This window comes from Homo sapiens, chromosome 1, assembly GCF_000001405.40.
Source record: "Homo sapiens chromosome 1, GRCh38.p14 Primary Assembly".
In the NCBI taxonomy this organism is placed as follows: Eukaryota; Metazoa; Chordata; class Mammalia; order Primates; family Hominidae; genus Homo; species Homo sapiens.
In genome coordinates, this window is record NC_000001.11 from 37,946,101 (window position 1) to 37,969,513 (window position 23,413).

Sequence of the window (23,413 nt, forward strand, 5' to 3'; positions counted from 1 at the left end):
TCCAGGACTCAGTAAGTACTTAGTAAATACTGATTTCCTTCTCCCCTGATGGTTCAGAGGGGCAGGAGAGGGGATAGACACCTCGACACCTTCCATTCCTCTTCCCAAGGCCAGGGCAGGCTCAGGGCCGCAGTTAGCACAGGAAGGATATGATGACGCAGTATTCCCCCTCAGCCAGCGTCTCCTGGATTGCCACAGACTGGTCCATGCTGGCCCCTGCTGAGCGCACACACCCTGTGGGAGGGGAGATAGGAGCCCCGCTTTGGTCAACAAGTTACGCATGGGGTGGTGGAGCTGCCTCAGAGGGGTTGGGGGCAGGAGGGAGGGGCCTTTGCAGAGGGAGATGGTACCGGGGAGGCCTGATCCTCCTCCTCCTCCTCTTTGTCCTCCCTAGAATAGGCCTTTCAGTTTTTAGGGATAGGGGTCCAGTCCCTTTGCCCCGCTGGGATCTACAGTTTGCTATACTGCCTTTGTCTGGGAGGGCATCCAGTTGCTCTTGAGTGTGGTCTATCCTTGTTGGAAGTGGGGTACGTGGATTGGAGAAGGGGACCTAGTCCCTTTGCTCCTAGGACATGGCTCTTCCTCTCTTTTGGGGACAGTTTTTGTTCTGCTAGCGCCTCTCTGGGAGGTGTCAGTGGTGTGTCCATGTGGGGTTCAGGGAACATCCCCTTACTGTCATTCAGGAGGGTCCCATTCCTCTTTCCTTGGAGACAGGAAGTGTCCCATTGCTGCTTGCCCTTCACCCCCGCCCCAGCAGGCCCATTGCATCAGCTGCAGGCCGGGGGTTGGGGGGTGTCCCAGCCCTCAGCTTGCCCACTCCCTCCTGCCCAGCCCTGCCCTGGCTTTCCTGCTCTGCTCCCACCCACAGCTCCCTGACATTGTCACCTACCTCCTGAGCTGTCACCACAGGGCGCACGGGACTCCGCTGCCCCAGGTTCCGGGACAGTGACTACATTTCCCAACAGCCCCTGCGCCACATGGTGGTCAGTCAGCCTGCAAGTCCCAGCATGCCCGAGTCAATCGTGGGGTGGGGAGTCTCTCCATCCGTGTTAACCCCTTAGGCCCTGGGGTACACTGGGCTTCCTATACCAGAAAGGTTTTCTAATGATTGCCCTCACTCCCATCCCCAGCCCTCTAGGTCATGGGGCCAGAGCTTCCCACCCAGAAGGAAGATGGTCACATTTTATCTTAGGGGAAGAATATAATGCATTTTTATTTTCTCCTTAGTTCCATCCTCAGCTCTTCTCACTCCAGGGTAGACAACCCGGACCTCTACTGAAACTCTTCCCCTAAAATAACTACCTTCTCCTGGTTTAATGGAGGGAGAACCAGACTATGAAGAACCATTATGTCCATTTTCCAGGTGGAGAAACTGAGCCTTGGATAGGTTAAGCAGTTTGACATTAAGTCCTGCAGCTAGCAGGTGGCAACACTGGGACTCCACTGAAAGTCTGACTGCAACTCCTGGGCCATTTATACCGCTACACACTGCCCTATTTCCTCCCTTAGCCCCACCCAGCCCTCCTGCCACACAGGGCTGTTTGAGGCTACTGGGTGTGAACGCACTTTATAAAGGGTATGACACTGTTCCTGTCCGGCAACGTCCTTCCCCTGATCCGCCTGGCTTTGTGACCTTGGCCAAGACCTTTCTTCCCTTGGGACTCAATTTCCCCATCTAAGATAAGGAGGTTACCCAAGATGGACAAAAAGAGCCAGCACAGGGACTGGGCACAGTGGCTCATGTCTGTAATCCCGGCACTTTGGAAGGCCAAGGAGGGAGGATCGCTTGAGGCCAGGAGTTTGAGACCCCATCTCTAAAAAAAAATTTTTTTAAATTTAGCCGGGTATGGTGGTGCATGCCTGTAGTCCCAGCTACTTGGGAGGCTGAGGTGGGAGGATTGCTTGAGCCCAGGAGTTCAAGGCTGCAGTGAGCTGTGATTGCTCACCCAGCTCAGATAAGGAATGCTAGGATCATTCTCACTTGGCCTATTGGCTGTTTAATTAAGCTGTAAGCTCCCGTTGGACAGGACTATGCCTTTTCATCAACATACCAGCAGTTTCTGGCACACAGTTATCTATGGAGTTAGTGAATTACTTTCTGAACTATTTTAATAAATACACCTTCTCTCAAGCTTTGGCCCAAACTGAAGGAATGGGCCTTCAGTGCTGGGGAGGGGGTGACTGTTGTGACTTGTGAACAGTTTCCCTTCCTCTTTCCCCAAGTGAAGTGGCCATCCTAATGACCAGTTCAACTTTGCATATGTAAACCCCTTCCAGAAACAGTCGTTGCCTTCTTCTCAATCCATTTCTTTTCCTGGAAACATCCACAGCACAAATGGAGCTCAAGTTTATTTGAATTCAGTGTCTAAGTCATGTGGACGATGAGGGGAAAGGGGATTGACTCAGACCCTTAGGATCAAGGGGTGGGGTCACTGCAGGGAAGCAGAGGAACCCCAATTCCAGCCCTGCTCTAGTGTCAAAGCCTGGCGAGGAGGGTCTGGGCAAAGTAGATGGGGCTGTGTGCTTTTTATGATGAAGAAACTGTCCCTGCAGGATTTGGGGGTCCTCCCACTGGGTGGGGGTCAGGCAGGAGGTTTTCTGTTTTTCCAGACAAACCCTATCCTCTCCCTGAGATTAGGGCTGAGGGCCTGCCCCCTTGGGGGGTTCCATGGTCAGGCCTAGGCCCTAGAAGGGGAGAAGTGAGGAGCCTTAAGCCCAGAGCTGTGGGCTTGATAAAGGCCTTTTACTAAAGATGCAACTACAGGAATCAGAGCTGGAGGGGGACCTGAAGGCTTGTAGATCCTACAGGGTCTTCTTGACTGCTGCTCCCAGATTCTGCTGGGCCCAGCTAGGGGAGCAGGAATAGGAGCAGAGCAGAGTGGAGGAGAAGTAGCATAGCCACAGCCAGGGCCCAGTGCAGGGGGTTTCTGGTGGCCCCAGGAGCTGCCTGGTTGAAGTGAAGTTTCCCATCCAGCTGAAGGCAGCTGCCTGAGGTTGAGGCTTGACAGCACTCCTGGTAGCAGGGTGGGGCCACAGCCCCATGACACTGGGAGGTCCCTGCTTCACAGGCCTGGCTGCAGCCTGCAATGTAACCTGAGCTGGAGCATTTCAGCTGCAAGAAGAGGTGGGACCATTCATCTTCCCCTTGCCCCTCTTCCCCACTCAAAGGCAGAAAGTGTTAAGTGGGTCATGGGTTGAGCTCAACCTCCTTGGACCCCTAGCTTCCTGCCCACAAGATCAGTGAGTTCCTAGTGAACATACAGGGTGGTCAGAAAAAAAGGGGCACATCGTGGAGGTATGGAAAATTCCAGTTGCTGCCTTTGGTGTTGGCATCATGCAGAGCTGAGGGGGTCAAGCTTGCTAGACCCCACGGCTGCTCCCAGCAGGTCTAGCTCCAGCCAGATTCTACTGCTGAGCTACCCACTCCAGGTAGAAGGAGAAAGCCATGCAGCTCTGAGGGAGGAGAGCTCCCTAATTCTTGGAGCATCGCAGGGCTCACCTCACAGAAGTCCAAGCCCTCAGGGCACATGGCCACAGCTTTCGGCCCTTTGAAACAGTCACCACCTTGGCAGGAGAAAGTAGCACAGATTTTCTTCTGGAAGAGAAAGCAGGAGGAGGTTTGGGAGCTCTGTGCAGACTGAACAGGTGGTAAATGCTGGACAGAGGCAAGGCTGGAGCCCTATCATGCCTGTGTCACTGGCCCCATCCACCACACGCTGTCCATTCCTGCCTCCACTTCCTAGAGGAGGCAGGTGAGAATGAGACACATTTCCCTGGAGGGCTGGCAAGGTGGTGGTCACCAGGGGTGGAATGGAATGTAGCTTGTCCTCTGGGATCGTCGGGTGGGCTAGGCCTAGGAGCAGAGCAGGACTGCCTGGGGAAGTGCTGTGACACCTCTGTAAAGCCCTGACCCCCTGCCTTGCCCCCAGGGAGAGCATGATGTGTGTGGGCAGCTCACAACCTGACATCTCCCCCACCACGGCCTAGATGAGCACAGGTGCTTGCCCCAGGCCTCTTTGTAGCTTGTTGGGGAGGGGAGTGCTGGATGGGCTGGACTGGGGAATGGTGGGGATGTTAGGAGTGGGGAATCTGAGAGGGGGTGGGGCACCAAAGGTAGAAAGCTCAGACTTGGGGAGCTAATGAGGAAGGCAGAGTTTTTTTTTTTGTTTTTTTTTTTTGTGGTGAGGTGGAGTCTCTCTCTGTCGCCCAGGCTGGAGTGCAGTGGTGAGATCTTGGCTCAGTGCAAGCTCCGCCTCCCAGGTTCATGCCATTCTCCTGCCTCAGCCTACAGAGTAGCTGGGACTACAAGCGCCCAGCACCACCATGCCCGGCTAATTTTTTGTATTTTTAGTAGAGATGGGGTTTCACCATGTTAGCCAGGATGGTCTCGATCTCCTGACCTCATGATCCACCTGCCTTGGCCTGTCTCGATCTCCTGACCTCATGATCCACCCGCCTTGGCCTCCCAAAGTGCTGGGATTACAGGCATGAGCCACCATGCCTGGCCTAGGAAGACATTAAAGGTAAGGGTCAGGGCCGGGCGCCGTGACTCATGCCTGTTATCCCAGCACTTTGGGAGGCCGAGGCGGGTGGATCACGAGGTCAGGAGATCGAGACCATCCTGGCTAACATGGTGAAACCCCGTCTCTACTAAAAAAATACAAAAAATAAGCCAGGCATGGCGGCGGGCGCCTGTAGTCCCAGCTACTCGGGAGGCTGAGGCAGGAGAATTGGGTGAGCCCGGGAGGCGGAGCTTGCAGTGAGCCGAGATCGCGCCACTGCATAAGCCTGGGTGACAGAGCAAGACTCTGTCTCAAAAAAACAAAAGAAAAAAAGGTAGGGGTCAGTCAGAAAAGGCCTAGAGGTTAGCATATTCATAGAGGTTGGGGGGGCTGGTGAAAATTGAGCTGAGATTTGAGGGCCTCTCAAAGGGCTGGGTTCAAAGTTGAGGGTTAGTGTGCAGAAGGGCTCTGAGCTTGTGGATGAGTAGGAATGGGAGTCAGAGGTGGGGGCTCTGAGGAATGGGGCTGGGAGCTGCAGGTTGGCGGGGCAGGGCTGAGTATTAAGGGTGGGGCTGTCTCACCCCAGGCTGACTCATTGAGCACGAAACAGAGTGGCCCTCCATTGCAGCACTGCAGCCTGCAGGGGTCTGGGCTGGGGGCTGAGCTATTGGACAGCAGACAAGGGCTAGGACCGGTTTCATTTCCCCCTTCACAGCTGAAGCTGCACCAGGCCATGTAGTGGGAAGCGTTGAGTTGAATCAGCTGGGTAGAGAGAATGCAGGCATGTCCAGGAGGATGGGGGCACAGCCAGGCCTGGGCCATAGCTCCACGTTCCCAGCATCCCAGATACTGACTCCTCTCCCTCCCGCTTCAGGATCTGTTCCTGCACCTTACTGTACCTGAATGTCAATCCCCCTTCCAATGGCCTCCCTCCACTCTCCTTCACCTCTGAGAAGTACCCTGGCTTGGGTCCCTCACAGCCCCAGCCCCACACCTCGCAGTGGTGCTGCCCGGGCTAACACTCTGTGGTCTGGTTGGAGAACTTTTCCTCCTGGTAGCACATCTCTCCGAGGCAGTGGAAGTTGTGGCATATCTGCGGAAAGGTTTGACCACTGTGGTCACACGCCTGGGGCTGAAGGCATTAGGAAGGCTGTCCCCTCCCTCATATGCTGCTTACCTGGACAGGAGCAGGGGTCAACTGACTGCTTGCCAGGTTCTGGGCTACCAGTAAGGCCAGCAGGAGGACTGATAGGAGGAAAAGGAGAGAGGGAGCCACTGCAGAGGCTGAGGCAGGTGAATCATGAGGTCAGGAGTTCAAGGCCATAACCAGCTCAAAGGTCATAGGTCAAAGAAAGGTCATGCAGCAGTTAAGTGGAAGAGGTCATGAACTTAGGGAAAAGTAGGGGCAGTCCCAGGGTCCAGCAGTAGTCATGGTCCAGGAAAGGCCAGGATCCCTGGGCTGAGGACAGCTACCTCTGAGCAAAGCAGCTCTGTGGCTACCATTGGCCACATACATCTTCAACTGAGGTGCTGCAGGAGCCAGAGAGAGGGAAGGACCAGTTCTGGCCAGCTGAGGAAACCTACAAGCAAAATTTCCATTACTGTACTATGCAGATGAATAAATTGAGGCTGGGGAACTAGGGTGGGGGTGGGTCAACCTTTAGGGAATAAGAGGTCTCAGGGGCTCAGCTTTCGCTTCCTGCAAGTCATACTGTCAGAGTGACACTGGGGCAGGCACAAAGGGGCCTGCATCCCAGTAACAGCCCCCCGAGACACATTTTGTCACTGGCATGGCAACAGCAGCATCCCAGCCTGAGGGGAGGCAGAACTGGAGCAGGTGCAGTGACAGGAAATACATACCCAGTGACTCTGATCTGGTCTCATTTGCTGCCAACGTCAGAAGGTGCCCGGGTGTGGGAAGGTGGGAGTCATGGGCTTCCTCAGAACCCAGGGCAGGAAAACCCTAGGCCACAGAGGGTCAAAAGTCCAGACTCACTTTGTCCAAGTGTTCTTCAGGATTCAGACCCCAGCCTGTCCCTAAATGAGTGCTGAGCCAAAGATAGGAGGTAGCTCTCAGACTTTGGGTTCCTGGATCCCAGACTCTGCCCCCTGCAACACTAAGGGGCCACACCTAGAAAGGTCTGCTAAGCCTGGGTTTAGGTTTTTCCATACAAGGTAGGAAACTGCTAGAGATGAGAGTGGGGCATTATTCCTATCTTCTCGCCCAGCCCTGGAAGCTGAGCACAACCCAGACCCTACCATTCCCAATGCTAATGGGGCATCTGTTTCCCTGCCCTCATGGATGTAATCCTCCATCAGCACTCAGACTTGTCTCTCAAGTGACAGCAGCCAGGGTGATGCGATACACAGGAGAGTGTGCAGCAAGGACTCCTGGGTTGGGCCCTTCTGATGGTGTCAGCCTCTCTGTTGCCCATCCGTCCCCCCCACCAACAAACACTACACTCAAGAAACAGTTCTCTTGCTGGGCATGGTGGCTCACACCTATAATCCCAGTGACTCAGGAGGCTGGGGCAGGAGAACTGCTTCAGGCCAGAATTTCAAGACCAGCCTGGGCAAGATAGTGAGATTCCCTTCTCTACAAAAAATTAGCTGGGCATGGAGGTGTGCATCTGTAGTCCTAGCTACTTGGGAGGCTGAGGTGGGGAGGTCACTTGAGCCTGAGAGTTGGGAGGCTGCAGTGAGCTATGATCATGCCACTGCACTCTAGCCTGGGTAACAGTGAGACCTTGTTAAAAAAAAAGTTTTTGGGGCCGGGCACGGTGGCTCACACCTGTAATCTCAGCACTTTGAGAGGCCAAGGCAGGTGGATCATGAGGTCAGGAGTTCAAGGCCAGCCTGGCCCATATGGTGGAACCCCGTCTCTACCAAAAACATGAAAAAATTAGCCAGGTGTGGCAGCGCACACCTGTAGTCCCAACTACTCGGGAGGCTGAGGCAGGAGAATTGCTTGAACCCGGGAGGCAGAGGCTGCCCTGAGCCGAGATTGCACCACTGCACTCCAGCCTGGGCGACAGAGCGAGACTCCGTCTTACAAAAAAAAAAAAAAAGTGACAGAGCGAGACAGAGTCTCACTCTGTCGCCCAGGCTGGAGTGCAGTGGTGCGATCTCGGCTCACTGTAGCCTCTGCCTCCCGGGTTCAAGCAATTCTCCTGCCTCAGCCTCCCGGGTAGCTGGGACTACAGGTGCGTGCTGCCATGCCCGACTAATTTTTGTATTTTTAGTAGAGATGGGGTTTCACCATGTTGGCCAGAAAGGTCTTGATCTCCTGACCTCATGATCTGCCTGCCTTGGCCTCCCATAGTGTTTGGATGACAGGTGTGAGCCACCGTGCCTGGCCTCCCATAGTGTTTGGATTACAGGTGTGAGTCACCGCGCCCGGCCAAATGAAGTTTTTACACAGTCAGCCCCTCTCCAAGGGGACTTCGGTTTCCAAAGGCCAAAGGTTCAAAGGGCTCAAAGGTTCTACCCAGGTCCCTGAAGCTTTGTGAAGAGCCCAGGCTTCCCACAGAAGCCCCTTTCCTCCTCCTTACTTTGCACAGTTGAGGCTGGAGGGACATCTCAGGAATATGATGGGGCAGGTGGACAGACACTGAGCAGAATCAGAAGGCTGGGCAAAGATAGATGGGTACCTCCTAGGCTGTATTAATCCAGGCTTCTTGTCCATCTCCTTTAGTCTGTGTGCCCCTCCATGGCTAGAGCATATTCTCAATATTCTCTGTGCCCCACCCTATCCCAGCTATAGACCTACCTGCACACTTGAAGGTGCAGAGGGCTGTGAGTGTGCATGCACAAGGCAGGGAGGCTACAGCTGCCGCCCCTGGAAACTGGAAGCTGCCCTTTCTCCTCCCCTCCAATCACTTGTCACCTCTGGGATTTGCCTCTCATGTTGCTGCCACCAGGGACACACAGGGACCACAGAAAAGAAGAAAGCATAGCTGCTGCCCAGACTGTAGTTGGAGGGAGAAAATAAAGCCACTTGAGCAGATCAAAAGACCGCTGTCCCAGCATCCCACTGGGAGGTGCCTTATTTGTCTGGATCGGAAACCTGGCAGGTGGAGAGGGCTCTCAGAAGAGATCAGAGGGAGAGGAGACCAGTGTCCTCCCAGGGTGGACCTGTAATGGGAGGACTCTTCTGGATGAGGGTGGAGAGGGTCACAGGTTCATTCCCACCCTGAGAACTCTGAGCTGAGGCTGACAGTAGGACCTGAAGGATGAGGAGAAAGGTTGCTATCATCCCAAGGATTTTTTTTTTTTTTAATGCAGAGGGAGAGAAATATCTCACAACTTCACTTCCCCAACACATTGGTTACCTTTAGGGTGCTCCCTTCACAGAGCCCTCCAGCACAAGTTGACCCCAGGGAGGGAAATGGACAGAAAATGGAGAAGAAAGGGATACCTGGTTGAAGCCAGAGACAGATTTCTTCACTTTCATCTGAGAAGTAGAGAGTAAAGACTCCTCCTGGGAGGGCTCATTCCAGGTGCAGCCTCTGGGTTTAGCAGCACCAATCTGAGGGTCAATCCCAGGAACAACTCCCTAAATGCTCCCTGCAGCTTTCCTCCATGAAGAGCTAATTGAATTAACTGTTCCCAGCAGTAAGTGCATTGGCAAAGGTTCCGACTCCATGTCTAAGAAAGATTCTTGGCTGGGCACAGTGGCTCATGACTGAAATCCCAGCACTTTGGGAGGCTGAGGCAGGTGGTCAATTGAAATTCTCTTCCTTTGGTTGACCCTATGGAGTCCAAACCTGAAGGATCACCTCTGAGAACCAATTCTGATGTGGTTTGCCTTCACCTCAGAAAACAGCTGTGCCCCTTGCAGCTGGATGGAGCTGGCCATATGGCTCTTCCTGCGTGCCCAGAGGCTGCTGCTGAGCTTCTTCACCTCTGGCTTCTGCCCTCACTGTCTCACCTCCGCTTTAGTTTTCAAGGTTTGATCTAGCTGTGCCTGGCACATGGAAGGCACTAAAAAAACCCTGAATGAATGAAGGTAACAAATGAACAAGCCTTTGCTGTGACAGGTAAGCCCGAGGTTCCCTCCAAGGTTGTTCTGGCACAGAGTTCGCACACTGACTGCAGTTACTGGGCAAGGGGATGGCAGGACTCCTTAGGACCTGGTCCCACTTCCTCTCCACACTGTAGAGGGAGAACCTATTAACCCTGGAGTCCCAGGTAGCCTCAAGACAGGGTTTTGAGGACTCCAACAGCTGGAAAGTAGCAGGTGCATTCCTTGGTAGCCCAATGCAGCCCCTGTTCTGACGAGCAGTCTGAAGGGCCGTCTTCTCCCCACATTTCCCATTCCAACGCTTTAACTCTCTTCTCAAATGGCAATGTCTCCTTGCACTTTGGGCCAGTTTCCACTAATCAGTGTTTCCAGTTGGCTCAATTAGGTTTAATTATTCACTCACTCTGCTTCAGCTCAGGCCCTGGAGAGGCTGTCCAACTGGAGTCTTATTTTTTTGAGACAGAGTTTCACTCTTGTTGCCCAGGCTGGAGTGCAATGGCGCGATCTCGGCTCACTGCAACCTCCGCCTCCCAGGTTCAAGTGATTCTCCTGCCTCAGCCTCCCAAGTAGCTGGGATCGCAGGCATGTGCCACCACGCCTGGCTAATTTTGTATTTTTAGTAGAGACAGGGTTTCTCTATGTTGGTCAGGCTGGTCTTGAACTCCCGACCTCAAGTGATCCGCCTGCCTCGGCCTCCCAAAGTGCTGGGATTACAGGCATGAGCCACTGCACCCGACCTGGAGTCTTAAATGAAGGAGTGAAGGCACAAGGGAATGAGTTGCACAGGGATGGGCTGAACTAGGAAGGAAAATACCAACCTAGAGTGCAGTGCCACTGGGGTGGGGGTGGTGAAACTTTACTGCCATGGAAATAACCAGGGCAAAAGATTGGTGTGAGGCAGAAGGCTAATTCAAGTTGGGATTTTTTTTTTTTTTTTTTTGAGACGGAGTCTCGCTGTCACCCAGGCTGGAGTGCAGTGGCGTGATCTCGGCTCATGGCAACCTTCGCCTCCTGGGTTCAAGTGATCCTCCTGCCTCAGTCTCCTGAGTACCTGGGACTACAGGTGCATGCCATCACGCCTGGCTAATTTTTGTATTTTTAGTAGAGACAGGGTTTCGCCATGTTGGCCAGGCTGGTCTCCAACTCCTGACCTCAAGTAATTTGCTGCCCTCGGCCTCCCAAAGTGTTTGGATTACAGGCATCAGCTACTGCGCATGGCCTGAGTTGGAATTTTTAAAAGTAGATATATTAGCCAGCCTGCCTCTGCATGGGATGAGTGCGGCACTGGTTCTTGGTAGGTTTTTAGAAAAATAAGATATAAATGTGTAATATAAAGAAAAAGATTAACATTTTTTTAAAAAGTAGATTTATTAAAAAACAGTTGAAGGTCTGAGTGTTGAGAGGCAAATGGGGTCTCTGGGGGATCCTGTCCTGCAGCAGGCCTGACTTTCAGATGACTGTGCTTATAAGGCAGATCAGTGCCTTCCTGGTTGCCTTAGTTCTTTCCATTTCAGACACCACATTTGGATCCTGGGGCAGCTGCTCAACTCTACCCAACTCTACCATGGCTACCTGGGATTGGAGAACATGTGAGTATTAGCTACTTTTACAGTCAAATAGGGATCTTGTAGAAGAAACAGGTAGACAGACCCACCAGTCTCTCATTCTGACCTAGCAAGCTGGTGAAGTCACTGTCGGTCCTAGTTCCCTTGTTTGTTGGGCTGCAGGCCCATTCCAACACAGCCCAACTCCCCCCCCCCCCCCTTTTTTTTTTTTTGAGATGGGGCCTCACTATATCGCCCAGGCTGGTCTCAAACTCCTAGGTTCAAAGGATCTTCTAGCCTCAGTCTCCTGAGTAGCTGGGACTACAGTGCGTGCCACCATGCCTTTTTTTTTTTTTTAATGAGACAGGGTCTCACTATGTTACCTAGGCTAGTCTCAAGCAACCCTCCTGCCTCAGCCTCCCAAGTAGCTGGGACTACAGGCACAAGCCACTGCACCCAGCTCCAACTCCTTTCTTTATGCAAATACAAAAGGCAAACCTTGGTGCGACACTTAGTCCTTAGTAGCAACCCTGGCTCATCCTCCTAGTCTTTCCCTAGTATTTGCATCAATGGCTAACTAAGCTGATGGCAGACCTCATCCTGGGGTAATACTCATTCAGGGAAGCAGCAACAAAGGAGGGTGGGGAAAGAGGTCAGGTCAGATTTACCTAACATGATATGTAGCATAATAGGTGCCCATTAAATCTCAGCTACTAGTAAAGTTGGTGAGGAAGAGGTATGGAGGCGTTAAGACCTGAAGCACTGAGTTGGTCCATAACCCTGGGCTTTAGAACAAGGTCTGGTTTTATTTTCTGGCAGAATCTTTTAAAATATAAAACAGATAAAACACATCTCAACCCTGCAATCTGCCAGCATGCCTTGTTTCTACAAGATGCATGCTAGACCATGAGACTACATAGCAAAGGGTCTTTAAGAGGATTTGGTTGGGAGAAATAGAAAAAGCAGATCTTAGGGAAGCCTGGGCTAGCCCAAAAGCTGAGCTACATCCCTGAACACTAGAGCAGTCCTTGTCTTTTCAGATCCTCGTATGTCTTCTTATTCACAACATTCCCACTTGAGTCTTCATATTCTTCCTGAAAAGGAAGGGGTACACTTTGTTAGACAGCTCTCCTAAAAGAAATGTTTGGAACCAATCTCTAAGTACCTGAGCTCATCCTGGCCTGATTCCATGGCATACTCTGGTACACTAAGATTGGCATTCATCTAAGCCTTTCTCAACTGGGGTTCCACAAGAGAATTAAGTCCCACTGCCCCAAAGCAGCCACCGTGTGCAATGAATTAACTTCTCTCGTAGACATCTAGAATGATATCAGTCATGACCCATCATTAGAGTATCTGAGAAAATAGTTTATTTAGCTCTCTATGTTTAAGATGGGGAACCCTGGTTGAGAAAGGCTGACCTACAACAGCAGTTTTCAAATGGTTCCCAAGAATCCCAGGATTCTGCTCAGAGGCCATTGCAGGGGTTGAAAGGGAAGCCAGGAAGTCTGAGCTTCCCCATGTCCAGGGCAATTCTGCTTGATTCTATTTTATATATCAGAGTACTATATTACAAGTGGAAGAGAGTTTTGCTGCCAAAAAGAAAAAAAATACTGAAAACCACTGACTCAAAAAAAGGGAGGCTATTGTCAGTTACTATGGGACTTGGAGTGAGTCAGTACCATTCCTTACATACATGTCATTCTTGATCTCTGAAACCTGCTGCTTGGGATGACCATCATAAGACCAACAAGGACATCTCCCTGTCGCTATGAGAGTATCATCTCTCATTAGATGCTTTCCTCAAAGGAGATCTAATACATGATACAGAGTCTCGGCATTTTAGTCTATAAATCTCCATGGCAGAACATGAGATTGGGTACTCCCACTTGCCATTTCAACTTTTTTTTCTTTTTTTTTTTTTTGTGAGGTAAGTTCTTGCTCTGTCACCCAGGCTGGAGTGCAATGGTGCGATCACAGCTCACTGCACCCTCGACAGCCTGGGCTCAAGCAATCCTCCTGCTTCAGCCTCCTGAACAGCTGGGACCACAGGCATGTGCCACCACTCCCCGCTAATTATTGTATTTTTTGTAGAGATATGGTTTCACCATGTTGCCCAGGCTGGTCTCCAATTCCTGGGCTCAAGTGATCTGCCTGCTTTGGCCTCCCAAAGTGCTGGGATTATGGGCATGAACTGCTGCACCTGGCCCATTTCAAAATTTGAATGGCAGAATACAATCTGTCTTTTTGTTGTTAAAGAGACAGGGTCTTACTCTGTCACCCAGACTGGAGTGCAGTGGTATGATCATAGCTCAGCAGCTGCCTCAAATTCCTGGGCTCAAGCGTTCCTCCTGCCTCAGTCCCAATTAGCTGGGACTACTAGCATGCGCCACCACACTTGGCTAATTATTATTATTATTATTTTTTGAGAAAGAGTCTTGCTCTGTCACCCAGGCTGGAGTGCAGTGGCACAATCTCGGCTCATGCAACCTCTACCTCCCCAGTTCAAGTGATTCTCGTGCCTAGGCCTCCCAAGTAGCTGGGACTACAGGCGTGCATGGGTGGATCACCTGAGGTGAGGAGTTTGAGACCAGTCTGGCCAACATGGTGAAACCCTGTCGCTACTAAAAATACAAAAATTAGTCGGGTGTGGTGGCGGGCGCCTGTAATCTCAGCTACTCGAGAGACAGAGGCAGGAGAATTGCTGGAACCCAGGAGGCGGAAGTTGCAGTGAGCTGACATTGCACCACTGCACTCCAGCCCGGGCAACAGTACGAGACTCCGTGTCAAAAAAAAAAAAAAAAAAAAAGGAAAAGTCAATTTGTAGATATTGTCACATTCTACTCGCTGCTGCAGTACACCAGGGACCATCTTTCACCTCCTTTCTACATGGTGAGGGAGCTCTCTATCACTTGACACTATCCCTAACACCATCCACATTAGTACCCACCTCAGTGTCAGGCTGCCATCGTTCTGAAGCCTTCTGCAATTTCAGTTTGGCCCACACTGCAGGATGAGAAATGAACAGCAATCAGGATGGACTGAACATCTGTTGGGTATCCAGTGTTATAATCCTCTCTCCCTGCCATTAGGATGCTCCCTAGAAGACTCTGCCTTTGAGATTCTTGCCTACCCCAAACCAGAGTTTTGGTTCTGGACCACCTATAGACAAAACCCTTTCCACTGCAAAATTCATCATGATCTTGCTTTGCTATAAAAGTTGGATCAAATATAACCAAAGACCTCCGAAAACAGAGAAACTGATACTCTTGAAGGAGGTTAATGTGGAACAACCTATGAGAATAATGGGGAAAGTGACTTTACTTTCTTAAAGCTCATAATATAAAAATTCTAATAGTTCAATAACAATCTCTATGAAGGAGAAAAGGTAAAGACATCCAAAAAAATCATTGTAGCTTCAGAAGGAGTGATCAGACAAGTATACACAAGAAAAAAACAGATACAAACCAGGGAAAGAACAACTTGAATCTTTTTTTTTGAGACGGACTCTCGCTCTGTCGCCCAGGCTGGAGTGCAGTGGGGTGATCTCAGCTCACTGCAAGCTCCGCCTCCCGGGTTCACGCCATTCTCCTGCCTCAGCCTCCCGAGTAGCTGGGACTACAGGCGCCCGCCCCCATGCCCGGCTAATTTTTTTTGTATTTTTTAGTAGAGATGGGGTTTCACCGTGTTAGCCAGGATGGTCTCCATCTCCTGACCTCGTGATCCACCCGCCTCGGCCTCCCAAAGTGCTGGGATTACAGGCATGAGCCACTGTGCCTGGCCAACAACTTGAATCTTAAAGTATGGTGTCAGGAAGGTGAACTCTTAGAACAGATGGCTACATGTAATACATAAGACAGGTCCACTGCCAGAGAGGGAAGATAATAAAATATCAATAGATGATGAGAAAACAGAACTTGATTCCTGCGTTTCCACCTTTCCCATCAAGCAGAATAATCTAAACTTGACAAGATTAGAAGAAATATCACAGAGAGACAGTTAAAGCCTAAGATGGGTGAATGAATAGTAAATAAAACAATATATGATAAAATGCTTAGCTCTGCACCTGGCACATAGGTGCTCAACTAATCAACTTTTCCTTCTTTGCTAATTGCTTTAAATGAGCTGAAGTTGGCCAGGCACAGTGGCTCATGCCTGTAATCCCAGCACTTTGGGAAGCTGAGGCAGGCGGAACACCTGAGGTCGGGAGTTCGAGACCAGCCTGATGAACATGGAAAAACCCCACCTCTACTACAAATACAAAATTAGCCGAGCGTGGTGGTGCATGCCTGTAATCCCAGCTACTCAGGAGGCTGAGGCAGGAGAATCGCTTGAACCTGGGAGGTGGAGGTTGGGGTGAGCCGAGATAACACCACTGCACTCCAGTCTGGGCAACAAGAGTGGAACTCCGTCTCAAAAAAACAAAAAAAAATTAGCTGAAGTCTTCAAGCCCAGGTAATATGCACATCAGGAAGGAATGGAGAAGTTATGTGCTTACTATGTGACAGGGCAGGACCCTGTCATATTCTTTGCCAAAGCTCTTCAAGAATCTAACCAAGAATTCAGCCTGGGTGACAAAGCAAGACTGCCAAAAAAAAAAAAAAAAAAAAAAAAGAAAGAAAGAAAAAAAGGCCGGGCGCGGTGTCTCACGCCTGTAATCCCAGCACTTTGGGAGGCTGAGGTGGGCGGGCAGATCACCTGAGGTTGGGAGTTCGAGACCAGCCTGACCAACATGGAGAAACCCCATCTCTACTACAAATACAAAATTAGCCAGGTGTGGTGGTGCATGCCTGTAATCCCTGCTACTCAGGAGGCTGAGGCAGGAGAATCACTTGAACCCAGGAGGTGGAGGTTGGGTGAGCCGAGATCGCACCGCTGCACTCCAGCCTGGGCAACAAGAGCGAAACTCCGTCTCAAAAAAACAAAACAAAACAAAACAAAACAAACAAAAAAAAACATTAGCTGAAGTCTTCAAGCCCAGGTAATATGCACATCAGGAAGGACTGGAGAAGTTATGTGCTTACTATGTGACAGGGCAGTACCCTGTCATGTTCTTTGCCAAAGCCCTTCAAGAATCTAACCAAGAATTCAGCCTGGGTGACAGAGCGAGACTGTCAAAAAAAAAAAAAAAAAAAAAAAAAAAAAAAAAAAAGGCTGGGCGCGGTGGCTCACGCCTGTAATCCCAACACTTTGGGAGGCTAAGGTGGGCAGATCACCTGAGGTTGGGAGTTCGAGACCAACCTGACCAACATGGAGAAACCCCATCTCTAATAAAAATGCAAAATTAACTGGGCATGGTGGTGCATGCCTGTAATCCCTGCTACTTGGGAGGCTGAGGCAGGAGAATCGCTTGAACCCGGGAGGTGGAGGTTGCAGTGGGCCGAGATCGTGCTATTGCACTCCAGTCTGGGCAACAAGAGCGAAACTCCATCTCAAAAAAAAAAAAAAAAAAAAAGAATATTAATAAAGTGCGACCAATCACCTAAATGGCGATTTCCGGTGGCAATTTCAGAGGGCTCTTTCTTAGCTTTTGTACAGTTAAAAAAAAATCATAAATCTAAACCAATGGAATAACTAACATAATAAATTTATAAGTAAAACCCTCTAAGTTAAAAAAAAAAAAAAAATCACTGCGGCCGGGTGCGGTGGCTCACGCCTGTAATCCTAGCACTTTGGGAAGCTGAGGTGGGTGGATTGCCTGAGCTCAGGAGGTGGAGACCAGCCCGGGCAACAAAGTGAAACCCCACCTCTACTAAAACACACAAAAAATTAGCTGGGCATGCTGGCGTGCACCTGTAGTCCCAGCCACTCGGGAGGCTGAGACAGGAGAATCGCTTGAACACAGGAGGTGGAGGTTGCAATGAGTGGAGATCGCGCCACTGCACTCTAGCCTGAGCAACAGAGCGAGACTCCGTCTCAAAAAAAAAAAAAAATCACTGCAACTTAAATGACAGTTCAGAATCTCTTGCTGCAGGCTAAAATCTCCAAGAGAGAAAATAAAAATTTCAAAAGAATGATCTAAACAAGTTAATCCAGGCCAGGAATGGTGACATGAGAATCACTTGAGCCCAAGAGGTAGAGGCTGCAGTGATCCAAGATTGTACCACTGCACTCCAGCCTGGGCAAAGAGCAAGACCCTGTCTCAGAAAAAGAGAGAGAAGACAGGGGCTGGGTTCGGGTGCAGTAGAAATTGAGGTAGAAATAAAACTACAAATGCTATGTGGTGAACCTAAAAAGTTCAAGGGAAGCCATGATGGGTAGAAATAATACAACTAATCAAAAACAGTGGCAATAACAACATTCATAGGGAGAAACTGACTAACCTAGACAGCTAAGTAGATAAATTCTGAAAGTAATACAATTGAAGAATCATGAAACTGCCAATGATAATTCTTTTTTTTTTTTGAGACAGAGTCTCACTCTGTCGCCCAGGTTGGAGTAAAGTGGCAGGATCTCGGCTCACTGCAAGCTCCGCCTCCTGGGTTCACGCCATTCTCCTGCCTCAGCCTCCCAAGTAGCTGGGACTACAGGCGCCCGCCACAACGTCCGACTAATTTTTTGTATTTTTAGTAGAGACGGGGTTTCACTGTGTGAGCTAGGATGGTCTCGATCTCCTGACCTTGTTATCTGCCCGCCTCAGCCTCCCAAAGTGCTGGGATTACAGGCGTGAGCCATTGCGCCTGGCCCTGCCAATGATATTCTTAAAAAAAAAAAAAAAAAAAAAAATTAGAGCCAAGCATGGTGGCTCATGCCTGTAATCCCAGCACTTTGGGAGGCCAAGGCGGGCAGATCATGAGGTCAGAGATCAAGACCATCTTGGCCAGCATGGTGAAACCCCATCCCTACTAAAAATACAAAAATTAGCTGGGTGTGGTGGCGCACGCCTGTAGTCCCAGCTACTTGGGAGGCTGAGACAGAAGAATCGCTTTAACCCGGGAGGTGGAGGTTGCAGTGAGCAGAGATTGCGCCACTGCACTCCAGCCTGGCGACAGTGCGAGACTCCGTCTCAAATAAAAAACAAGAACAAAAACAAACTCTGTATGGCTAAGAGAACACGATTTCTTTCTAGAAAGACTCTTAATGACTAACCCTTAAAAAATTACGTGATAAGTGTGATTTCAAAGAAGGCAGTAAGGCGTTGTGGAAAGAGGAAAGACTGTTTTAAGACACACGTGTTGTAATCCCAGCACTTTGGGAAGCCAAGGCAGGCAAGTCACCTGAGATCAGGAATTTGAGACCAGCCTGGCCAACATGCTAAAACCCTGTCTCTACTAAAAATACAAAAAAATTAGCCAGGCGTGGTGGCGAGCGCCTGTAATTCCAGCTACTCGGAAGGCTGAGGCAGGAGAAATCGCTTGGAACCAGGAGGTGGAGATTGCAGTGAGCTGAGATCACGCCACTGCACTCCAGCCTGGTTGACAGAGCAAGACTCTGTCTTAAAAATTAAAAAAGAAATTAAATGAAATGAAATAAAAAAAGAAGTAAAGAAAAAGGCTGCCATGAAAATGTTAATGGCAGAGAAAGCTACCACTGCGGGGAAAACAGGAAGCCTGGCGGTGGTCCTCTATGTGCTTCAGCAGCACATTCCCTGATATGCACTCCACTTCACTTTCTTCAAGAGGTATTTTGCTGCTGTGTTTCTATAGCCTCAAACACAAGCTTACTGAGGGCACTTCTATTTTTCCCTTTATATCAGTCATTCTCTTAACATGAGCATGGTGGCTCATGCCTATAATCCTAGCACTTTGGGAGGCCAATGCGGGTGCATCACTTGAGGTCAGAAGTTCCAGGCCAGCCTGGCCAACATGGTGAAACCCCGTCTCTACTAAAAATACAAAAATTGCTGGGCGTAGTGGTGCATACCTGTGGTCCCAGCTACTTGGGAGGTTAAGGCACAAGAATTGCTTGAACCCAGGAGGCGAAGGTTGCAGTGAGCCGAGATCAGCCACTGCATTCCAGCCTGGGCAACAGAGCAAGACTCTGTCTCAAAAAAAAATAAAAAATAAAAAAATAAAGTTGGGTGCAGTGCCTCATGCCTATAATCCCAGCATTTTGTAGGGCCAAGGTGGGAGGATCACTTCAGCCCAGGAGTTTGAGACCAGCCTGGGCAACATAAGGAAACCCCATCGGCACAAAAAAAAAAAAAAAAAGAAAATAAACTCAGAATAGTTTTATAAAGCACTTGCTTTCTTTGTCATAAGAAGTCAAGAAATTATATAAGTTAAAGAATCTTAGCGCAGTCCCACTGAAGAGATAATCTCTGTCAATATAAACAGTTTCAAATGACAGGTTGTAGCATGTTGCATGTTGGGCGGGGATCACGCCTGCAATCCCAGCACTTTCGGAGGCTGAGACAGGCAGATTGCTTGAGTACAGGACTTTAAGACCAGCCTGGGCAACATGGTGACACACCATCTTTACAAAAAATACAAAAATTAGCCAGGCATGGTGGCACAAGCCTGTAGTCCCATCAGCTTGGGAATCTGAAGTGGGAGGATCACTTGAGCCTGGGAGGCAGAGATTGCAGTGAGCTGTGATGGCACAACTGCACTCCAGCCTGGGCAACAGAGTTGGAAGCCCAAGGTTCAAGCTGACCAAACAGCTGAACAGCCTGCTAAACATAACTGAGAGTAAAGTGCCTGTAATTTAACAGTGGGGGGTGGGATGGGGGGGTAAAATACCTTACTTCTGTCTAATCAGCCAACAGTGAAATGTGACATAGATCCACTGAAAAGAATATAAAAAGCCGGGATGGGCGCGGTGGCTAACGCCTGTAATCCCAGTACTTTGGGAAGCCAAGGCAGGTAGGTCACCTGAGATCAGGAGTTTGAGACCAGCCTGGCCAACATGCTAAAACCCCGTCTCTACTAAAAATACAAAAAAATTAGCCAGGCGTGGTGGCGAGCGCTTGTAATTCCAGCTACTCGGGAGGCTGAGGCAGGAGAATCGCTTGGAACCAGGAGGTGGAGGTTGCAGTGAGCTGAGATCACGCTACTGCACTCCAGCTTGGGTGACAGAGCAAGACTCTGTCTCAAAAAAATAAATAAATAAATTAATTAATTAAATTAAATTAAAAAAAAAGAAGAAAAGAAAAGGCTGCCATGAAAATGTTAATGGCAGAGAAAGCTACTACTGCTGGGAAAACAGGAAGCCTGGCGGTGGTCCTCTATGTGCTTCAGCAGCACATTCCCTGACATGCACTCCGCTTCACTTTCTTCAAGAGGTATTTTGCTGCTGTGTTTCTATAGCCTCTAACACAAGCTTACTGAGGGTACTTCTATATTTTCCTTTATATCAGTCATTATTTAACACATTAAAATCAATTCAGAAAACTATCCATACAACCATTCAATCAAAATCTTGCATAAAAGGGAGTTCACAGACCCAGGCTAAAAGCCCTGGTTTATACTCAGCACAGAGCTCTTCTCAAAGGAGAAACAATCAGTATTGCCGACTAATTCATTTCTCTTAAAAATGCAATAATTAGCTGGGCACGGTGGATCACGCCTGTAATCGCAGCACTTTGGGAGGCCGAGGTGGGCAGATCACCTGAGGTCAGGAGTTCAAGACCAGCCTGACCAACATGGAGAAACCCGTCTCTACTAAAAGTACAAAATTAGCCAGGCATGGTGGCGCATACTTGTAATCCCAGCTACTCGGGAGGCTGAGGCAGGAGAATCGCTTGAACCCAGGAGGCACAGGTTGCAGTGAGCCGAGATCGCACCATTGCACTCCAGCCTGGGCAATATGAGCGAAACTCCATCTCAAAAAAAAAAAAAAAAAAAAAAAAAATGCAATAATTAGGCGCGGTGGCTCACGCCTGTTATCCCAGCACTTTGGGAGGCCAACATGGGTGGATCACTTGAGGTCAGGAGTTCGTCACCTCAACCAGCCTGGCCAACATGATGAAAGCCCATCTCTACTAAAAATAGAAAAATTAGCTGGGCATGGTGGCACATGCCTGTAATCCCAGGTACTAGGGAGGCTGAGGCAGGAGAATTGCTTGAGCCCAGGAGACGGAGGTTGCAGGAGCCAAGATCGTGCCACTGCACTCCAGCCTGGTGACAGAGTGAGACTCGTCTCAGAAACAAAGGCTGGGCATGGTGGCTCACGCCTATAATCCCAGCACTTTGGGAGGCTGAAGTGGGCGGATCACCTGAGGTCGGGAGTTCAAGGCCATCCTGGCTCACACAGTGAAACCCCGTCTCTACTAAAAATACAAAAAATTAGCCAGGTGTGGCGGCTCATGCCTGTAATCCCAGCACTTTGGGAGGCCAAGGCGGGCGGATCATGAGGTCAGGAGATCAAGACCATCCTGGCTAACACTGTGAAACCCTGTCTCTACTAAAAACACAAAAAATTAGCCAAGTGTGGTGGCGGGCGCCTGTAGTCCCAGCTACCGGGAGGCTGAGGCAGGAGAATGGCATGAACCCAGGAGGTGGAACTTGCAGTGAGCCGAGATCATGCCACTGCACTCCAACCTGGGCGACAGAGTGAGACTCCGTCACAAAAAAAAAAAAAAAAAAAAAAAAAAAAAAAAATTAGCCAGGTGTGGTGGCACGTGCCTGTAGTCCCAGCTACTCGGTAGGCTGAGGCAGGAGAATCGCTTGCGCCCGGGAGGCAGAGGTTGCAGTGGGCCAAGACTGCACCATTACACTCCAGCCTGGCGACAGAGCGAGACTCCATCCATCTCAAAACAAAACAAAAAAACACAAAACAAAAAACAGAAATGCAATAATTATACAACTGTCCTAGATTTTACATATCCACAACCTACTGCCTTTAACCCTGGATACACAGGGTATTAGGATGCTGAATTGAAGGAGTAGAGCCATTTGTACTCGCCTAGGAGACAGTAAATAAATCTTACTTACAGGAGACAGCATCTTCAATCTGTGTCACATTAGCAAAGTGAGCAGTGTTTGGGATGCCCAAACACCTCATGCCATGAGCATGACGCCATTCCTGGGAGAAGAGAGAAGCAAAAGGATCATGTGAAATGGGAATAGCTGAACACAGAGCACTAACTCCATTCTACTCATAAATCCTAACATGGCCCTTTGCAAGACTCCACCTAAAGGTAGCATTCCTTTTGTGATTCATGTTTGTAAACAGCTGGCTGTGACTGACAAAAGGGTGGTATTTCAAAGCAGCACTGCATTGTTTGCCTCACTGGGTTGGCTTGTAAACCTAGATTCTAGACCCAGTAGTCTTATACATAAAACCTCTGGGTCAAGATCACAGAAAAACATCACAACTCTCACTACATCTCCCATATTGCAGGAGAACTTACCAAAGCCCCAGCAACTCCAAACACCTGCATGAATAGGGGTTACTAATGGCAGGTCAGCATCATCTTTGTAGGTAAAGGAGAAGACTTTTATTAGGCACAATGATGTGGTGAGGAGAGAGCAGGGAGATTATACACTGACATGATGGCAGTTTTAACTAAGGGATGGTAAATGGCATGGGCTTTATCCTGGATGCCAACTCCAATCATTGTAGGAGGTGCTGAGAAGGATTCAGAACTCACTCATGGGCTCAGCAAAAAAGACCCATTATCAATTAGTAATATGTATGACTCAGAGAGGGGGAGAGGAGTTCATATAAATTTGTCATCCTTGGTCTAGCATAAATGTTTTCCTTTCTGTAAAATTTCCTTCCAAAATCTAAGAACTCTAAGTAGAGCCCACTTAGAGGTGAGCCCACTTACAGCAGTATCATCCGGACAATACCCTGTCTCAAGAATGGCTTGATAAATATCAGCCCCTTCATTTTTTATTTTCTCAAGAGGCAAAGATCCATTTAAGATCTGAAAGAGATCAGTCAGCCCTATTTTTTATCTTGAGTATTAGCAATGGGGTAGAGAAATAACCAAGAAGTCAGAAATTGGTCTAAAATGCTAGCAGAAAGACAAAAACAGAGAAGTTTAAGAGCAGGCAAGAGAAAACCAAATAAGGTTCAAAGAGTGGTGCGGTAGAATTCCTCCAGAAACTATCTCAGGTATTTAAGACTAACATTGGTGCCAAAAGTCAAATGCCATGGGCTTGATTTTAAAACCATCCTTCTCTGATTCCCTTCAGCTCTGGACACCAGTGGTCCACATAGGCTGCTCCTACTCTTTTCTCTAAAAGTCTCATGTTTTTACTTCAATTCCCAGGAAAAATGGCTCTGAATTCCTTACAGCAAAGTGTCGCTGGAAGGCTTTGGGCCCTCGGTAGGTGTAGTTTCCACAAATCTCACAGTTGTAGTTGATATTTAGGCCATGAAGCTTATACAGCCAGTAGGGAATAGGCTAAAAAAGAAAAAAACAAAACAAAACCAAGAAGTGTTAGCCTACTAAA

At 49.3% G+C, this 23,413-nt stretch overlaps 2 protein-coding genes across 16 annotated transcripts in view, besides 3 other annotated features; both read right to left on the reverse strand.

Annotated features, from left to right (window-relative positions):
- INPP5B (inositol polyphosphate-5-phosphatase B) overlaps positions 1-957 on the reverse strand; it is an 86,361-nt gene extending 85,404 nt beyond the window's left edge. For 11 of the 14 annotated variants that reach the window (NR_158630.1, NR_158628.1, NR_158629.1 and 8 more), the window contains exons 1-2: positions 890-957; positions 152-234 (exon numbers count right to left, since the gene is read on the reverse strand). Coding sequence is in view for 5 of the 14 variants with exons in the window: in NM_001365821.1 (NP_001352750.1) it covers positions 152-208 (57 nt within the window). In the remaining 9 variants the exon portion in view is untranslated. Of the gene's footprint in view, positions 1-151; positions 235-673; positions 770-889 lie in introns of those variants that run through there. The other 3 variants (NM_001365822.1, NM_001365820.1, NM_005540.3) reach the window with 2 other exon arrangements.
- Positions 775-1,304: an enhancer, noted in NCBI's record as "H3K27ac-H3K4me1 hESC enhancer chr1:38412547-38413076 (GRCh37/hg19 assembly coordinates)". NCBI's record gives its function as "activates a minimal SCP1, AML or CMV promoter by ChIP-STARR-seq in primed H9 embryonic stem cells {active_cell/tissue: H9 hESC(primed)}" and the evidence as "EXISTENCE:reporter gene assay evidence [ECO:0000049][PMID:30033119]".
- Positions 882-1,121: an enhancer, noted in NCBI's record as "active region_779". NCBI's record gives its function as "activates an Ori minimal core promoter by ATAC-STARR-seq in GM12878 lymphoblastoid cells {active_cell/tissue: GM12878}" and the evidence as "EXISTENCE:reporter gene assay evidence [ECO:0000049][PMID:35858748]".
- Positions 2,511-3,184: an enhancer, noted in NCBI's record as "H3K4me1 hESC enhancer chr1:38414283-38414956 (GRCh37/hg19 assembly coordinates)". NCBI's record gives its function as "activates a minimal SCP1, AML or CMV promoter by ChIP-STARR-seq in primed H9 embryonic stem cells {active_cell/tissue: H9 hESC(primed)}" and the evidence as "EXISTENCE:reporter gene assay evidence [ECO:0000049][PMID:30033119]".
- Positions 10,875-23,413, reverse strand: part of SF3A3 (splicing factor 3a subunit 3) — a 33,048-nt gene continuing 20,509 nt past the window's right edge. For both annotated transcript variants that reach the window (NM_001320830.2, NM_006802.4), the window contains 4 exons: positions 23,254-23,364; positions 21,944-22,034; positions 14,020-14,075; positions 10,875-12,163 (listed from right to left, as the gene is read on the reverse strand). In NM_001320830.2, coding sequence (NP_001307759.1) covers positions 12,086-12,163; positions 14,020-14,075; positions 21,944-22,034; positions 23,254-23,364 — 336 coding nt within the window. In that variant the 3' untranslated portion in view covers positions 10,875-12,085. The remainder of the gene's footprint in view (positions 12,164-14,019; positions 14,076-21,943; positions 22,035-23,253; positions 23,365-23,413) is intronic.